This window comes from Homo sapiens, chromosome 5 (assembly GCF_000001405.40).
Source record: "Homo sapiens chromosome 5, GRCh38.p14 Primary Assembly".
NCBI classification, from domain to species: Eukaryota; Metazoa; Chordata; class Mammalia; order Primates; family Hominidae; genus Homo; species Homo sapiens.
In genome coordinates, this window is record NC_000005.10 from 180,448,901 (window position 1) to 180,466,580 (window position 17,680).

Sequence of the window (17,680 nt, forward strand, 5' to 3'; positions counted from 1 at the left end):
TCAATATGTAAATATATAAGGAACTCAAACAACTCAATAGCAAGATAATAACCCAGTTTTTTAAATGGGCATAGGACCTGAATAGATATTTCCTAAAAGAAGTAATTTATATATATTCTGGATAGTAGGTTTTTATGAGATATGTGATTTGCAATTTCTTTCTCCCATTTTTTGGGTTGTCTTTTCACTTTATCTGTCTTTTTTTTTTTTTTTTTTGATGGAGTCTTGCTCTGTTGCCCAGGCTGGAGTGCAGTGGCACAATCTGGGCTCACTGCAACCTGTGCCTCCCAGGTTCAAACGATTCTCCTCCCTCAGCCTCCCGAGTAACTGGGATTACAGGCGCGTGCCACCACACCCAGCTAATTTTTGTATTTTTGGCAGAGATGGGGTTTCACCATGTTGGCCAGGCTGGTCTCGAACTCCTAACCTCAGGTGATCCACCCGCCTCAGCCTCTCAAAGTGCTGGGATTACAGGCTTGAGCCACCGCGCCCGGCCAGTATATTGTAATCTTAAAAATGCTAACATAATGGATGTATTCTCACCACAGAAGATAACTGTGAGATTATGCATATGTTAATTATCTAGGTTTAGTCACTCCACAGTGTATATATACTTTAGAACACAGCTGGTGGAATCTCCAAAAAAGCTACTGAAACTAATAAATGAATTCAGCAAGGTTGCAGGACACCAGATCAAGGTACTAGAGTCAATTTTATTCCTATGTATTAACAATGAATTGCAAATTAACATATTAATTATCCCCAAATTGATCTATAGATTTAATACAGTTCCAATTAAAATCCAGTAGGCTTTCTTAAATACAGAAATTGAAAAGCTGTTTCTAAAATTCACAACATGGCACATGTATACATACGTAACAAACCTGTACGTTGTGCACATGTACCCTAGAACTTAAAGTATAATAAAAATAAATAAATAAATAAAATAAAAAGAAAAGAAAATTAAAAGCAACTATGAGAGATTAGAGGCTTCTCGGGAAAAAAGAAAGAAAAAAAATGAAAATTAAAAGCACCTAGACTAGCCAAAGTCATTTTGAAAAAGATGAACAAAGTTAGAAGGGTAACGGTACCTAAATTCAGTACTTATCATAAAGCAATATAATCAGACTTGCATGGGACTGGCGTAATAGACAAATTGATTAATGGAAAAGAGAGTGCAGAAATAGACCCACATATACTTGCAGAACTAATTTTTGACAAATATTTGAAGGCAACTCATTAAACAAAGGAAACTCTGGCATTGTTTCTCTTCATACTGAAAAATTATTTAATATTTCTTGTAATGTAGATCTTCTGTTAGTGAATTATTTCAGCTTTTGTTCATTTAAAATATCTTTATTTCACCTTCATTTCTGATGGTATTTTCAATAGATGTGTAATTCTGATTGACAGATTTTTTTTTCTTTCAGAACTTCATGTTTCATTTTCTACGAGTTCTGTTATTTCTGATGAGAATGACACGGTCATTCCTACTGTTGTCTTCCTATATGTACTGCATCCTTTTCTTCTGACTTCTTTCAAGATATTCTATTTATTTTTTGTTTTTAGCAATTCCAGTTTAATGTGGCTAGGGGTGTATGTTCATACTGCTTGGAGTTTATTGAGCTTTTCGGATATATGGATTGTCATTTTCATCAAAATTAGAAAAAATTTGGCACCATTTTTTCAAATATTTTTCTGCCCCAATATAACATATCTCCTTCTAAGGATCTAATTACTTTTGCCTTAGAGTGCTTGATAGGTCCCGAAAGCTCTATTCTTTTTGTATTTCTCTGTGTGCTTTAAATTGGATAGTTTTTATTGACCTGCCTTCAGATTTGCTAATCCTTTCTTTGCACTATTCATTTTCCTAAGTCCATCCTGTGAAGTTTTAATTTCCGATATTGTATCAGTTAGTTCTAGAATTTCTAATTTTTCTTTTTCACACTTTCATTTTTGTGCTAAGTCCCCATCTGTTTACTATTTCCATGCTTTTCTTTAAATCCTTGAATAATTTCTAGTGATAGCTGGTCAAAAAACCTTAGCTGCCAATTTTATAATCTTTGTCATCTTTGGATTTGTTTCTATTAACCCTTTCTTTCTCTCTCTCTTTTTTTTTTTTTTTCGAGACAGAGTCTCACTCTGTTGCCCAGGTTGGAGTGCAGTGGCGCAATCTTGGCTCACTGCAACCTCTGTCTCCTGGGTTCAAGTGATTCTCCTGCCTCAACCTCCTGAGTAGCTAGGATTACAGGTGCACGCTACCACGTCTGGCCAATTTTTGCATTTTTAGTAGAGACCGGGTTTCACCATGTTGGTCCGGCTGGTCTCAAACTCCTGACCTTGTGATTCACCCACCTTGGCCTCCCAAAGTGCTGGGATTACAGGCGGGAGCCACTGTCCCCGGCCGCTTTTTCTCTTCATGGGCTTCTGCTACTTCCTATATGTGTAGCAATTTTTTATGGTATGTTGGACGTTGTTATGCTACCTTATTATCAGTCTAGATTATGTTGTTTTCCTTTAAAGAGTGTTTTTGGTTTACCTTTATGGCATCTCATATGAATGCTTGTCATTCAGCAAATTCGTTCTATTTGAGTTGTTTGAAATACAATTTTTTTCCAATGTTATGTGACCTCTGAAATCAATTCAGTTCGGTTTCCCAGTAGTTTTTCTCTCATTGGCCTCACAGAATATTTTCCTGAGCATTCCAGCTTAGTATTTGGCTGGAGTCAACAGAAGCACTATGCATCTTGCTCAGTTTCTTCTTTGCACAAGTCCTTCCTCTCTCTTACTCTGCCCCATAAATTCCAGCCACTGCAGCAGCTCTAAAGTCTAATCTCCATGTCCTTTACTCAATAAGGCCAATGCCTCCTGTCTCAGCCACAGTTTATTGTTTGGAAAGTTCTCCCAGGCAGAGAGCTGGGAGTAATATGGAGCTTATCACATGTGTTTCTCTTCTTTCAAAGTCACATTTCTGTAGTTTTACTCCATATATTTTCTACAGTATTACTGCTGCCTAAAACACAAAGCTGAATCCAACTCTTGTTTCTCTGTCATGGCTAGAACTGAAAATCCTCCATCCTATTTTTCCCCATGGCTGAATGTGAATGGATTGTTAAAGATTACCACACATTTGAGGAAAGCTTCTTATGTCAAGTCTAGAGACCAAAACTAACAGGCAAACAAACAAACAAGAGCTTGAATGAGGCAGAAACCACACATGGAAAGAAAGGCTTTAAAAATAAGCCTCTTATTAATATCCCCAGGGAGGTAGTGCATCCATGATTCAAGAACAGAATTTTATATTTTAATAAAAGAGTGAGACCAGGCGTGGTGACTCACACCTGTAATCCCAGCACTTTGGGAAGCCGATGCAGGCAGATCACGATGTCAGAAGTTTGAGACTAGCCTGGCTAACACGGTGAAACCCCATCTCTACTAAAAATACAAAAATTAGCCGGGCGTGGTGGTGCACGCCTGTAATTCCAGCTACTCGGGAGACTGAGGCACAAGAATCACTTGAAGCTGAGGTGGAGGTTGCAATGAGCTGAGACTGCACCACTGTACTCCAGCCTGGGTGACAGAGGAAGACTCTGTCTCTAAATAAGTAAATAAATAAATAAAAATAAAATAAAAGGGTGAGAAACGACAGAGAAAAAAACTGCTTTTAGAAAATAAAAACATGGGCCGGGTGCAGTGGCTCACGCCTGTAATCCCAGCACTTTGGGACGCCAAGTCGGGTGGATCACCTGAGGTCAGGAGTTCAAGACCAGCCTGGCCAACATGGTGAAACCCCCGTCTCTACTAAAAATACAAAAAATTAGCTGGGCGTGGTGGTGCACGCCTGTAATCCCAGCTGCTCAGGAGGCTGAGGCAAGAGAATCACTTGAACCTGGGAGGCGGGGTTGCAGTGAGCCGAGATCACACCACTGCACTCCAGCCTGGGCAGCAAGAGTGAAACTCAGTCTCAAAAATAAATAAATAAATAAATAAATAAATAAATAAATAAATAAAATACAAAATTAGCTGGGTCTGGTGGCACACGCCTGTAGTCTCAGCTACTAGGGAGGCTGAGACAGGAGAACTGCTTGAACCCAGTGAGAGGTGAAGCCAGCTGGACTTCCTGGGTGGAGTGGGGACTTGGAGAACTTTTCTCTCTTACAAGAGTATTGTAAAATGCACCAATCAGCACTCTGTAGCTAGGATTGTAAAACTCACCAATCAGTGATCTGTAGCTAGCAAGAGGATTGTAAAATGCACCAATCAGTGCTCTGTAAAAACGCACAAATCAGTGCTCTGTAGCTAGCAAGAGGATTGTAAAATGCATCAATCAGTGCTCTGTAAAATGCACCAATCAGTGCTCTGTAAAATGCACCAATCAGCAGGATCCTAAAAGTAGTGAATTGCAGGGAGGATTGAAAAAAGGGCACTCTGATAGGACAAAAACGGAACATGGGCGGGGACAAATAAGGGAATAAAAGGTGGCCATCCCCCCAGCCAGGAGCAGCAACCCTTTGGGTCTCCTTCCAGTTATGGAAGCTTTGTTCTTTCACTCTTCACAATAAACCTTGCTACCGCTCACTCTTTGGGTCATGGCATCTTTAAGAGCTGTAACACTCACCTTGAAGGTCCACGGCTTCGTTCTTGAAGTCAGCCACACCAGGAACCCACCGGAAGGAACCAACTCCAGACATACCGGGCGACAGAGGCTGCAATGAGCTGAGATCGCGCCACTGCACTCCAGCTTAGGTGAGACAGAGCGAGACTCCATCTCAGAAAAGAAAAACATCACAAAAATATAAAGGTCAACAGACAGATGGAAAATATGAGGGGCACAAAAGATTTTAAAATTTCTAATCCAGTGCAAGAAGTCTAATATCTGAATAACAGGAGTTTCAGAGAAAACAGGAGCCAGAGATACCAAATAAATAGTCAAGAAGCTACCAGAAGCCTAAGCCTCGAGAATAAAAAAAAGCACTGCCCAGAACAAGTGCTCTGCACAACGGATGAAAACACACCAACACTAAAGCACATCACTAGGAAATGTTAGCTCATTGAATGAAAAGCACATATTTTATATGCTCCCAGATAGAAAGAAAAAAAACAGCTTCCATGAAAGAAAGATCAATCAGAATGCTTCAGATGTCTTCACAACAGCTCTGGAAGGAAGCAAGCATCTTCAGAATTATAGGGAAAAACAACACTCCCAACTTAGATGTGTATATCCTAGAAAGCCACCAATCATGTATAAGGGTAGATTAAAGACATTTGCAGACATACAGGTTCTCAAAATAATTATCTCCCATGCTTCTGGTTTCTAGAAGCTACTATGGAATGTGTTAATAACACAGTGGGGGGAAAAAACAGAAAAGAGGAGTCATAGAGTCCAAGAAAGAGAGGCTCTAGCTCAGGAGTGAGGCAAAGGAGAGGCCCTGGGGGATGGTGACAGGAGGCACCTGAGTGAAAGCTAGTACCAGGCACGAGGGCCACCCATCCAGACGAGCAAAGCAGGAGTCCTCAGAAGAGAGTTCCTCAATAAGTTAAATCTGCAAAGGCATCCAATGTGTTTTTATGCAATTGAAAGTAGATTTATCTCACCAGGGAAAAGTTTGGGGATAAAATTAGTGAAAAGTGGCCGGGTGCAGTGGCTCACACCTGTAATCCCAGCACTTTGTGAGGCTGAGGCAGTTGGATCTCCTGAGGTCAGGAGTTTCAGACCATCCTGGCCAATGGGATGAAACCCCGTCTCTATTAAAAATACAAAAATTAGCCAGGCGTGGTGGCAAGTGCTGGTAATCCCAGCTACTCAGAAGGCTGAGGCAGGAGAATCACTTGAACCCGGGAGGTGGAGGCTGCAGTGAGCCGAGATGGCACCACCTGCACTCCAGCCTGGGCAACAGAGTGAGACTCCATCTCAAAAAAAAAAAAAATAGTGATAAGTACATAGAGATATAGATGACAGTCACTGCCTCTAGTACAGACAAAAGCTGTTCTATGACATGGAAAGTAATTACAGTACCACATGGTTCAGCTGTGAATAGCATTTACATAGTCACAATGCCATTACTCTGGAATAGCAATCTAGCCAAAATGCCAGTAAAACTGCATATACTTGGGAAGATGAGGGATTAAAAATGGGTGGGGGGGTTAGGGACACAGCGGGAAGGAAAGAGCCTGATTTTCATCTTGGATTGTGGAAACACAATAAATGCAGCTTAAAATGGAACAACCAAGAAGCAGAATAGAAGCTGCTATTTAGAGATATGGAAGTTAATGCCTAAATAATGAAATAGAACAACAGGAAATGAAGAGACTGCTGTTCTTGGTATAATTCTTCAACATTTTGTTTTAATTTTTAAGGATTACTTCCAACGGGTAGGTTGTAAAAAGTGACAGTCTTGGGCCAATGATGTACCCTTTTTATTTTGTTTGTGTTGTTGTTGTTATTGTTTTGAGACGGAGTCTCGCTCTGTCGCCCAGGCCAGAGTGCAGTGGTGCGATCTCGGCTCACTGCAAGTTCCGCCTCCCGGGTTCACGCCATTCTCCTGCCTCAGCCTCCCGTGTAGCTGGGACTACAGGCACCCGCCACCTCGCCCGGCTAATTTTTTGTATTTTTAGTAGAGACGGGGTTTCACCGTGTTAGCCAGGATGGTCTCGATCTCCTGACCTCGTGATCCGCCCGCCTCGGCCTCCCAAAGTGCTGGAATTACAGGTGTGAGCCACTGCTCCCGGCATTTTTGTTTGCTTTTAGAGACAGGGTGTCACTCTGTCCCCTAGATCAGAGTGCAGTGTTGGAATCACAGCTCACTGCACTCTCAATCTCCTGGGCTCAAGCAATCCTCCTGCCTCAGCCTCCCAAGTACCTGGGGCTACAGGCGCACGTCACCATACCTGGCTAATGTTTTGTATTTTTTTGTAGAGACAGGGTCTCACTGAGGCAGGAGAATAGGGTCTGGAGGCAGAGAACCTAAGGCCAATTTGCTCTGACTTCCTAGAATTGAATCAAAATGAAAACCCCAACTTTCCACACCCAAGTAACAAAAGGATCAGAGGCCACTCCCTTTGCAACTTCCCCCACCTTTCTGGGAGGCAGAAGAAAAATGCAAAGTACCTCTGATTGATCCCCTTCTGCAACCAATCAGACTGGTCATGGGCCTAGTCTTCAATTGCATAGGGGTATAACTTTGTAACTTCAGCCTCTGATTGGTTCCCTCCTGCAACCAATCAGACGTTTGCACAAGGTGTAACTTTGTAACTTCACTTCAGCCTAGGTTGCCTTCTGCAACCAGTCAGACTGGTCAGGGGCCACTCCTTCATTTACATAGGGTATAACCAAGTAACCAATGGGAAACCTCTAGAGGGTATTTAAACCCCGGAAAATTCTGTAACCAGGGACTCTTGAGCTGCTTACTGAAACCCACTCCCACTCTGTGGCGTGTACTTTCGTTTCAATAAATCTATGCTTTCATTCAATAAATCTGTGCTTCATTCTTTCATTGCTTCATTTGTGCATTTTTTCCAATGTTTTGTTGAAAACACCAAGAAACTGGACAACTCATAGTCAAGACCCTCCACCGGTAACATCACTATGTTGCCCAAGCTGGTCTTGAGCTCCCAGCCTGAAGCAATCCTCCAGTATTGGCCTCCTAAAGTGTTGGGCTTACAGATGTGAGTCACTGTACCTGGCTGGTGCACTGTTTTAAAAGTTTTTGCCACATTTTAACATATTCTCCTTTAAAGAGTTGTATCAGCTCCATTCCATGGGCAATCTGCTCTAATTTGGACTTCCATCCTACTTCCTGACTGTTAAGTTAGGCTCTAGCCAGGCACTAAGCATCTCTGATACAAAGGCATGACATCTGACTGAGGGTTGCAGGGCCCCAGGGAAGAGAGGGGGCCCTTTCAGAGGCTACCGGGGTAGGTTTCTTGGGGAAGGTGACATTAAACTAGAGCTTAAAGAAGGAAGAGTTTTACATATGGGGAGGGAAGGGAAGGACTTTCTGGTAGGAAGTGAGAGAAAACTGTTCTGTGGTTTTGTTTGTTTTTGTTTTGAAATAGAGACAAGGTCTCACCTGTTGCCCAGGCCAGAATGCAGTGGCATGATCGTAGCTCACTGTAACCTTGAACCCCTGGGTTCAAGCAATCCTCCCACCTCATCCTCCCCAGTAGATGGGACTGCAGGCACATGTCATGATGCCCCACTCAGTTCGTGTGTGTGTGTGTGTGTGTGTGTGTGTTTGGTTTTAGCTTTGTGATGGTCAATCAGATCAACAGCAACAGCAACAGATCAACAGCAACAAAATTAGACACAGGAGAGACACAAGAAAAGAAAGCTGATTGAGGCTGGGTGTGGTGGCTCACGCCTGAAATCCCAGCACTTTGGGAGGTGGAGGCAGGCGGATCACCTGAGGTCAGGAGTTCAAGACCAGCCTGACCAACATGGTGAAACCTCGTCTCTACTAAAAATACAAAAATTAGCTGGGCGCAGTGGCACTCGCCTGTAATCCCAGTTACTCGGGAGGCTGAGACAAGAGAATTGCTTAAACCCAAGAGGCGGAGGTTGTAGTGAGCCGACATCACACAATTGCACTCCAGCCTGGGCAACAGAGTGAGACTCTGTGTCAGAAAAAAAGAAAGAAAGAAAAGAAAGCTGATTGTGCTCACGGATGCTACAGACACAGGAGGCACGGAACATGCTGCAGGACCATGTGACTACCATGTTTTGGTCGGGACACAGAAAAGAGGGGCAAGGCAAAGTCCAGGCCACAGCCTTTATTGGGAGAGGCCACGCAGGGAGATGTGAAGAGTTTAGGGCTGGCTAGTTGGGCTCCAAACTATAGTGTGGGGGTCCCTAGGTGCCCAGCCTGACCCTGGAATGATGAAGGCAGAGGAATGTTGCCTCGCGTGTGTACGGGCCTGAGGGAGGAGGCCTGGCTGTGGATGGTTAGTTTATATATCGAAGGCGTGCTCCAGATATGCTATCTCTAGAAATTGGCCAGTTAGAGGGCAGTTCTCCTTCTCCCCAGCCAGAAAGGTCTTTTTAAAGATGTCAAAACATTATACTATACAGAAAATGAAAAATACAAACAACTCAAAAGCCAACTCCAATTGGCTATAGGACACACAGGAAGGACAGGGGCAAGTGGCCTTGGGGGACAATGGGAACCAGGGCCAGGGCCACCAGAACCCCCTCTTCCCCTCCTCTCCATCTCTTTCCAATCGTATGTTGGTTTCATTCACTCAGGCCGGCCTTCCCCTGGCTGAAGACAGGGCAGGCTCCTCCAGTGGACCAGTGGGGGAAGGAGCTTCTCCCCACTCCAGCTGGAAAGAATACCCAGTGCCTGGCTCAGGGGGATGTCCCCTTGCCCCTGCAGGTCAACCCCTGTGACGAGGGCTGGACACACCCACTGGACCAGCAGGCATCAAGGGCCTAATTTGGTGGCAGGTGGGCAGTGCCTCACAAGGGAATAGCTGAGTATGGTCCCAACTGGGGCCTGAAAAGTCACATTTAGGCAGGCTGAAATTTTTGACCAGGCATGGTAGTGAAACTGACCCAATTGTCCCAAAGATAGTTGTTTGGACAAACATAGAAATTGACCCTTTTGAACCTTACACTTGTTTTATCTGAGTTCCTTCCTTGGGAAACACCTTCAGGCCTCTCAAAAAAAAGTATCCAAGAACTGAAACTCACCAGATCATGACATCCAGACAATGAGACTCCAGGCCCCTCATCCATCAGGATTGCTCCCTTACCCTCTCAAGTTCCTGTTTTCTTACACATTGTTACATTTCATCCCAGTTCCTATTTTCTTGAACATTGTTACATTTCTTCCTAATATACAGACCCCTAGTTTTAGTAGGTCAGAGATGGAGTTGAGAGTGAGCTCCCATCTCTCTGGCTGCAGCGCCCGATTAAAGCTTTCTTCCTTGGCAATACTCGTCCCAGTCGTTGGCTCTCTGTGCGGTGAGCAGTGGGTCCCAGAGTGAACCGCTGGTGTTCTGCTAACAGTGGCTCACACCTGTAATCTCAGCACTTTGGGAGGCTGATGTGGGAGGATTGCTTGAGCCCAGCAGTTTGAGCCTGCAGGAAGCTATTGAGAGGTGACAGCGTGCTGGCAGCCCTCGCAGCCCTCGCTCGCTCTCGGCGCCTCCTCGGTCTCGGTGCCCACTCTGGCTGTGCTTGAGGAGCCCTTCAGCCCGCCGCTGCACTGTGGGAGCCCCTCTCTGGGCCGGCCGAGGCCGGACGGCTCCCTCAGCTTGCGGGGAGGTGTGGAGGGAGAGGCGCGGGCAGGAACCGGGGCTGCGTGCGGCGCTTGCGGGCCAGCAGAAGTTCTGGGTGGGCGCGGGCTGGGTGGGCCCCACACTTGGAGCCGGCCGGCGCCACCGGCCCCGGGCAGTGAGGGGCTTAGCACCCGGGCCAGCAGCTGCGGAGGGTGCACCGGGTCCCCCAGCAGTGCCGGCCTGCTGGTGCTGTGCTCGAATTCTCGTCGGGCCTCAGCTGCCTCCCCGCGGGGCAGGGCTCGGGACCTGCAGCCCGCCGTGCCTGAGCACACCCCACCCCCACTCCCGTGGGCTCCTGCTCGGCCCGAGCCTCCCTGACGAGCGCCACCCCGTGCTCCATGGGGCGCGGTCCCATCGACCGCCCAAGAGCTGAGGAGTGTGGGCACACAGCGCGGGACTGGCCGGCAGCTCCACCTGCGGCCCCTGTGCAAGATCCACTAGGTCGGCAGCTTCACTCCCGAGCCGGCGAGACCATGAACCATCAGAAGGAACAAACTCCGGACACACTGCTTTTAAGAACCGTAACACTCACCTCGAGGGCCACCAGCTTCCTTCTTGAAGTCAGTGAGACCAAGAACCCACCAATTCCGGACACACGATGATCACTGCACTCCAGCCTGGGTGACACAGCAAGATCCCATCTCGACAACAACAAAAATGTTCATTAGTTTGAGCATTCAGCGATTTGTGAATCAGGCAGCACCAGACCATAAGCGGCAGCACTCCACCTGGGGGCTCAGGGGAAAACTTTATTAAGGTGTTGGCCAAAACAAGACAAAGGAGATATTTGAGCTGGGTGCCGTGGCTCATGCCTGTAAATTCCAGCACTTTGGGAGGCCGAGGCGGGCGGATCACAAGGTCAGGAGATCGAGACCGTCCTGGCTGACATGGTGAAACCCTGTCTCTACTAAAAATACAAAAAATCAGCTGGGTGTGGTGGTGGGCACCTGTAGTCCCAGCTACTCGGGAGGCTGAGGCAGGAGAATGGCGTGAACCCGGGAGGCGGAGCTTGCAGTGAGCCGAGATCGCGCCACCTCACTCCAGCCTGGGCGACAGAGTGAGACTCCGTCTCAAAACAACAACAACAACAAAAGAAGAAGATATTTGATTGGTCAAACTGGAAAGTCCCCAGTGAGAGTTGCGGTGGTGGCTCCTGACGGGTTAAGCTTTGGCTTTGCTCTCCCAGGCTGTGACCGTTCACCCTGAGCTTCTGAGGTAGGTTTCCATTTGCTCACATGAGAACTCAAGGTTCCGGAGCATCTCACCCTAAACAGCCTCCCAGTTAGCCATGTTTTAACCACGTGTGTACTCGAATCTAAGCCCTACCAGCACCTATTCTTGGCCTCCACTAGAATATAAGCTCCATAGGGCAGAGCGTCTGGATTGGTCACTGCTGTACTCAGAGTGCCTAGAACAGCACCTGGTGTATGGGAGGTGATCACAACACTCAGATCATGTGGCTACCATGGTGGGAAGGACAGACTGTTCTCCAAAGAAACAGGAATGACACAGATGTAGTGCTGGGTGTCATGGAGGAAAGGAGGCACTCTAGGTGGTGTCTCCTGTGGCTGGGGTCCTGAGCTGTAGGGCCATCATGGGACTTCAAGTCCCAACCCCCCATTGGGAAGCTCTTTCCCCTTTCTCCACCCTGCCCTGGACAGAAGCTAGTAGGGCCCTGGGGAAGACATGTGGTCAGTAAAGAGAAGCATGCTCTGCCTATGGGAGGCCAAGCTGGCCCCCAGCAGGAGTCGGTGGTGAAGCACAAGGACTTCCAGCTCCATGCTGTGTCTCAGGCCTTCCTCTCTCATGGGCGGGGAGCCGGTGCTTGTGACCTGATTGGGGAAGAGATCATAGCAGGAAGACAACATTCCCTTAGGACTCAGAGCGGCCAAGACGGAGAATCCTGGGGTGAGGCGGGCGAGCCCTGAGCACCTGGGGGAGCAGATGCCACTTGGGGCTGCAGAGCGTGGGTGGCACCCAAAGCAGACGAGTGACATTGTTCTCCGCCCTCTGTCCCTCATGCTCCTGGCAGTGAGCTGGGTTTTCACCTCTGCTCCTTGGGTGAGGGGCGGAGGGGATCAGTCCTCCCTGACCCATCCTCACAAGGTCAGTCCCTTGGTGACGTGGCTTTTGTCCCTTATTCGTAGAGATGTCCCACACACGCACTGCTGCCCACCCAGGCTGGAGAGAGGCCGTGGGGCTCAGCCATCTGTTCCCCAGACTCATAGGGCCTCAGGGTCAGACCTACAGAGGAAGGAATTGCTCCGAATGTAAACGGCTCCCAGGACAGTGATTCTCAGAGGGACCCTAAGCTCGCCAGCAGAGAACGGCACCCCAGTGGTGCCCAGGCCTCAATAGCACCCGAGTGCCAAGGGAGCTTCTGGAAGTCCCAGGTTCCTGGGCCTGGGAATGTGCATCCCCAGCCACCCCCTCCTGCTTTGGGAGAGTGGGATCACGTTTTTCCAGGCCCCACTTCATGGGGAGCCACAGCCACACTGCAGGAGCCACATAGCTCCTGCTGCCCCCTTGGTGGTTCACCAAGCTCCTGGGCTCCCCAGGCCAGGTGCGGGGTGGGAGCCTGCTCAGCCCCGGAGGCTGGCATATCCTGACAGCAGCTTCTTCCCAGGAGCCCAACCATGAGTGCCTGTGGAAATGAAGGATGCTCCAGGTGAGGCTAGGTCTCCTCAAGGAGGGAGAGTGTGGTCAGCTGAATGATGGCCCCAAAGACATCCAGTCCTAATCCCTGCAGCACACAACCGTTGCCTTCTGTGGCATGAAGGAGCTCTGCAGGTGTGATTAAGGTAAGGATTCTTTTTTTTTGAGACGGAGTCTTGCTCTGTCGCCCAGGCTGGGATGCAGTGGTGCAATCTCGGCTCACTGCAAGCTCCTCCTCCTCCCAAGTTCAAGCAATTGTTCTGCCTCAGCCTCCCAAGTAGCTGGGACTACAGGTGCCCACCACCATGCCCAGCTAATATTTGTATTTTTAGTAGAGACAGGGTTTCACCATGTTGGCCAGGAAGGTCTTGATCTCCTGACCTCATGATCCACCTGCCTCGGCCTCCCAAAGTGCTGGGTTTATAAGGCATGAGCCACCGCACCTGGCCTTGAGATGGAGTTTTGCTCTTGTCACCCAGGCTGGAGTTCAGTGGCATGATCTCGGCTCACTGCAACCTCCACCTCCTGGGTTCAAGTGATTCTCCTGCCTCAGCCTCCCAAGTAGCTGGGATTACAGGCACCTGCCAGCACACCCGGCTAATTTTTTGTATTTTTAGTAGAGACCAGGTTTCATCATGTTGAATAGGCTGGTCTCAAACTCCTGACCTCAGGTGATCCGCCCAACTTGGCCTCCCAAAGTGCTAGGATTACAGGCATGAGCCACCACGCCCAGCCAGGATTTTCTTTTTTCTTTTTGAGATGGAGTCTCGCTCTGTCGCCCAGGCTGGAGTGCAGTGGCACGATCTCGGCTCACTGCAAGCTCCGCCTCCCGGGTTCACACCATTCTCCTGCCTCAGCCTCCCGAGTAGCTGGGATTACAGGCACCCGCCACCATGCCCTGCTAAATTTTTTTTTTGTATTTTTAGTAGAGATGGGGTTTCACCTTGTTAGCCAGGATGGTCTCAATCTCCTGACCTCGTGATCCACCCGCCTCAGCCTCCCAAAGTGCTGGGATTACAGGCCCTGGCCAGGATTTTTTTTGAGATGGAGTCTCACTTCCTTGCCCAGGATGGAGTGCACTAGCACAATCTCGGCTCACTGCAAACTGCCTCCTGGGTTCAAGGGATTGTCCTGCTTCAGCCTCCCGAGCAACTGGGATTACAGGCATGCACCACAACTGGCTAATTTTTGTATTTTTTATTAAAGAGGGGGTTTCACCATGTTGGCCAGGCTGATCTCAAACTTCTGGCCTCAAGTGATCCACCCATCTCGGCCTCCCAAAATGCTGGGATTACAGGTGTGAGCCACTGCACCTGGCGAAGCTAAGGATCTTGGGATGGAAAGGTTGTCCTGGGTTAGCCAGGTGGGCCCTAAATGTAATCACAAGTGTCCTTACAAGAGAGAGGAAAAGAGACTACACACAGAAGAGAAGGTGGAAGAGAGATTACACACAGACGAGAATGCGACGTGACCAGGGAGGCAGAGACTGGAGGTTGTGGCCACAAGCCAAGGAATGCTGGCAGCCCTTAGGAGCTGGCAGAGGCCAGGAGCAGCTTCTCCTCTGGAGCCTCCAGAGGGAACCAGCCCCGCTGACACCTTGACTTTACCCCGTACAACTGACTTTAGACTTGTGGCCTCCAGAACTGTAGAGAATAAACTTGTGTTAGCCACCAGGTTTGTGGTAACTTGTTGCATCAGCCATGGGGCATCTCCTCCTCCTGGAAGCTGCAGCCTGGTGGAGAGGTCTAGCAGGGTCTGTGGGAGTCATCTGGGGTTCCAGTGCAAAGTCAGCAGCCCTGAAAGCTGCTCTTCTCTCTCTGCATGGGTTGCAGCCGCGTCTGCTCAGTGTGGTTTCAGTTCTCTGACAAACCAGGGCTTCCCAGCCTGCCCCAGAGCAGGCCTTGCGTGCTGATACAGCTGGGACCCCCTCTGCAGCCCAGGCCAGCCTGAGGGATTACTGAGAAGTCCAGGTGAGCTGGAGATGTGAGGTGGGGCTCACAGCTGGTGCCCAGCTTCCTCCAGCTCCAGCTCCTCCCACCCAGGCCCATCCTGCTGCTGCATCTTTCAGGGTCTCCACATCTGTCCCTAGACAGACCCTGTCCTTTCTGCAGCAGAGCGGGTAGAAATGGACCCTCATCGTGGGGTGGTCAGCCCCAGCACAGCCTGGGCAGGATGCTGGGCACCTGGTGTGAGGACCAGGCCTGCCTCCCGTTATCCTTGTGGGCTCTGGAGGGCAAGGTCAGAACTGGGTCTAACCCAGGTCCCACGCCCCCCACCTCACAGGGGTGAGCACAGGTCTGAGGTTTGTTGAACGAACAGCTCCTGCAGCCCCTGAGAAAGCTGGCTTCCTCTGGAAAGTATCAGGGCCATCTTCCCAGTCCCCCTCCTGTCTCCGGCCCACCCCCAGCTACAAATCCCAGCATTGGGTGGGAGGTGGAGGCTCTGGGATCTTGACTCTGGAAGACTCCCTGGCCCTTCCCAGCACCTGTCTTCTGGGCCTCAGCTCCCATCAACAACGTGGTCTTGGCTCAGGCCCCTGACTCTCCCTGCCCCCGCCCCACGCACCTCCAAGGCCACCCTCTGTCCACCCTGCCTCCACCTGGAGCCCCCCTGTGGCCGCCTGCTGCTGCACTCCATCAAGACATCACGCTCCGGCCTCAGACTGCTGGGCTCTGAGCCTCGCTGGACTCTTCTTGGAGGGGATGGAAACCCAGTGAAGATGGGATCTGGGATAAAGGACCATATGTGTAGATGCTGGGCATCCCTGGCCAGGGTCCCGTCCCCGACCCCAGGCCTGTGCCTCCCCCACTCCCCAACCTCCCCCAGTCAGCTGCAGTTCGTGTTGCCTTCACCCTCACAGGCTCCAGCACTTCTGACTTCCACACACCCAGCTCAATAAACCCAAAGTAAACATTCCCTCCAAAAGTCCCTGAATGGTGTCTGTCATCCTGGGTTGAACTCGTGCCCATCTCAGCAGCAGGAATTTTGACAGGGAAAGGAATGCTATGGGTCAGCCTTCAGGCCTTGGCCCCAGGCCTGTTGCAGGGCACAGAAGGGGCCATCTGGCTGGAACCCCATCTACTGAGAGAGGGACAGGAACGAGCCCTAAGGGAGCCACCATAAGAGGGAGTGGATACTCACCAAAGATGCCTATATCTGCTGCGTCTCCTGCAGGTGCCCCTAGCGAGAGGTGAAGCCAGCTGGACTTCCTGGGTCCAGTGGGGACTTGGAGAACTTTTCTGTCTTACGAGAGGATTGTAAAATGCACCAATCAGCACTCTGTAGCTAGGATTGTAAAATGCACCAATCAATGCTCTGTGGCTAGCCAGAGGTTTGTAAATGTGCCAATCAGTGCTCTGTAAAAATGCACCAATCCGTGCTTTGTGGCTAGCTGGAGGTTTGTAAAATGGACCAATCAGCAGTCTGTAAAATGGACCAATCAGTGCTCTGTAAAATGGACCAATCAGCAGGATGTGGGCAAGGACAAATAAAGGAATAAAAAAAGCTGGCCACCCACCCCACCCCTGGCCAGTAGTAGCAACTCCCTAGGGTCCTGTTCCACGGTGTGGAAGTTTCGTTGATTCCCTCTTCACAGTAAATCTTGCTGTTGCTCACTCTTTGGGTCTGTACCACCTTTGAGAGCTGTTAACACTCACCGTGAAGGGCTGCGGCTTCATTCTTGAAGTCAACGAGACCAGGAACCCACCGGAAGGAAGAAACTCCGGACACACCACCTTTAAGAGCTGTAACACTCACTGTGAAGGTCCGCAGCTTCATTCTTAAAGTCAGCGAGACTACAAACCCACCGGAAGGGACAAACTCCAGACACACTAGGTGCACCCCACCTCCCTGCTACTGACAGGATGCTCGCCCTGGCACTGGTGCTCCTGGCCACTGAGGGTGACGTGTGGTCCTCTCCGCCTTATGTAGCCTGCTGGCCGGCATCTGCCTCAGCCCCAGCATGATGGCCTCGGCCCTTTGTAGGAACCAGACTGATTCCTGCCAGGAAACCCCTTTCACCTTCCCCACCCAGAAATGACAGGGACAGACACCAGGGGAGTGAAGATACGTCTGCCACATAACACCCTGGAGAACCATGTGTCAGCCTCTGTAACCTCAGTTTCCTCATCTGCAAAATGACCTGCCTGGGCTCGGGGGAGGCTAAAAGGCCCTGTCCAAACGTGAGCTGGCCCACAGTCCTTCAGGCAGTTGTGGCACATGGCTGAGTTAAGAGAAGGTGCCTTGGATTGGGCTGTGTCCCCAGTTCAGTAGCTCCAGGCTGGACTTGTCCATGCTAACCAGATGGCCACCTGGTAACTTTCAGCGAAGTTCACCCCTCCAGGAAAGCCACCAGCACAGGGGACTCTGGGGCCTGTGGCTTGGGGCTCCGGCGTTGGGGGAGACCTGGCCAAAAGTGGCTCAGCCTAGGAGCTGCAGGTCTGGCAGGCACAGCACCTTCCCCCACAGCTACTGGCACCCTCTCACCAGATAACACCCGTTGAGAGCCCTGTGGCTGCGGACAGGCCTGCTCAAAGATGCCATTATGCAGAGTCCTCTCTGCCTTGCCTCTTTTTCCGGGCAGGGTGGCGGTGCAGCATTTTCCATGGCTGCCCAATACTCGGCTCAAGCTTCTGCATTCTGAGCTTCAGGCCTAACGCGCTTCCAAGGTTCCCAAACCTGTCCCTCAGCCACGCGCGGGCGCGGTGTGGTTGCTCCCAGGTATGCCTGCCTGACCCTGTCCAGAAAA

At 49.6% G+C, this 17,680-nt stretch overlaps 1 long non-coding RNA gene across 1 annotated transcript; it reads right to left on the minus strand.

Annotated features, from left to right (window-relative positions):
• Window positions 1-14,115: 14,115 nt before the first annotated feature.
• LOC124901153 (uncharacterized) lies at window positions 14,116-16,396 on the minus strand. Its single transcript, XR_007059087.1, has 2 exons — window positions 16,075-16,396; window positions 14,116-15,659 (listed from the first exon to the last, which is right to left on the minus strand). It is a non-coding gene; the product is annotated as an uncharacterized LOC124901153 (long non-coding RNA).
• Between the last annotated feature and the right edge of the window lie 1,284 nt (window positions 16,397-17,680).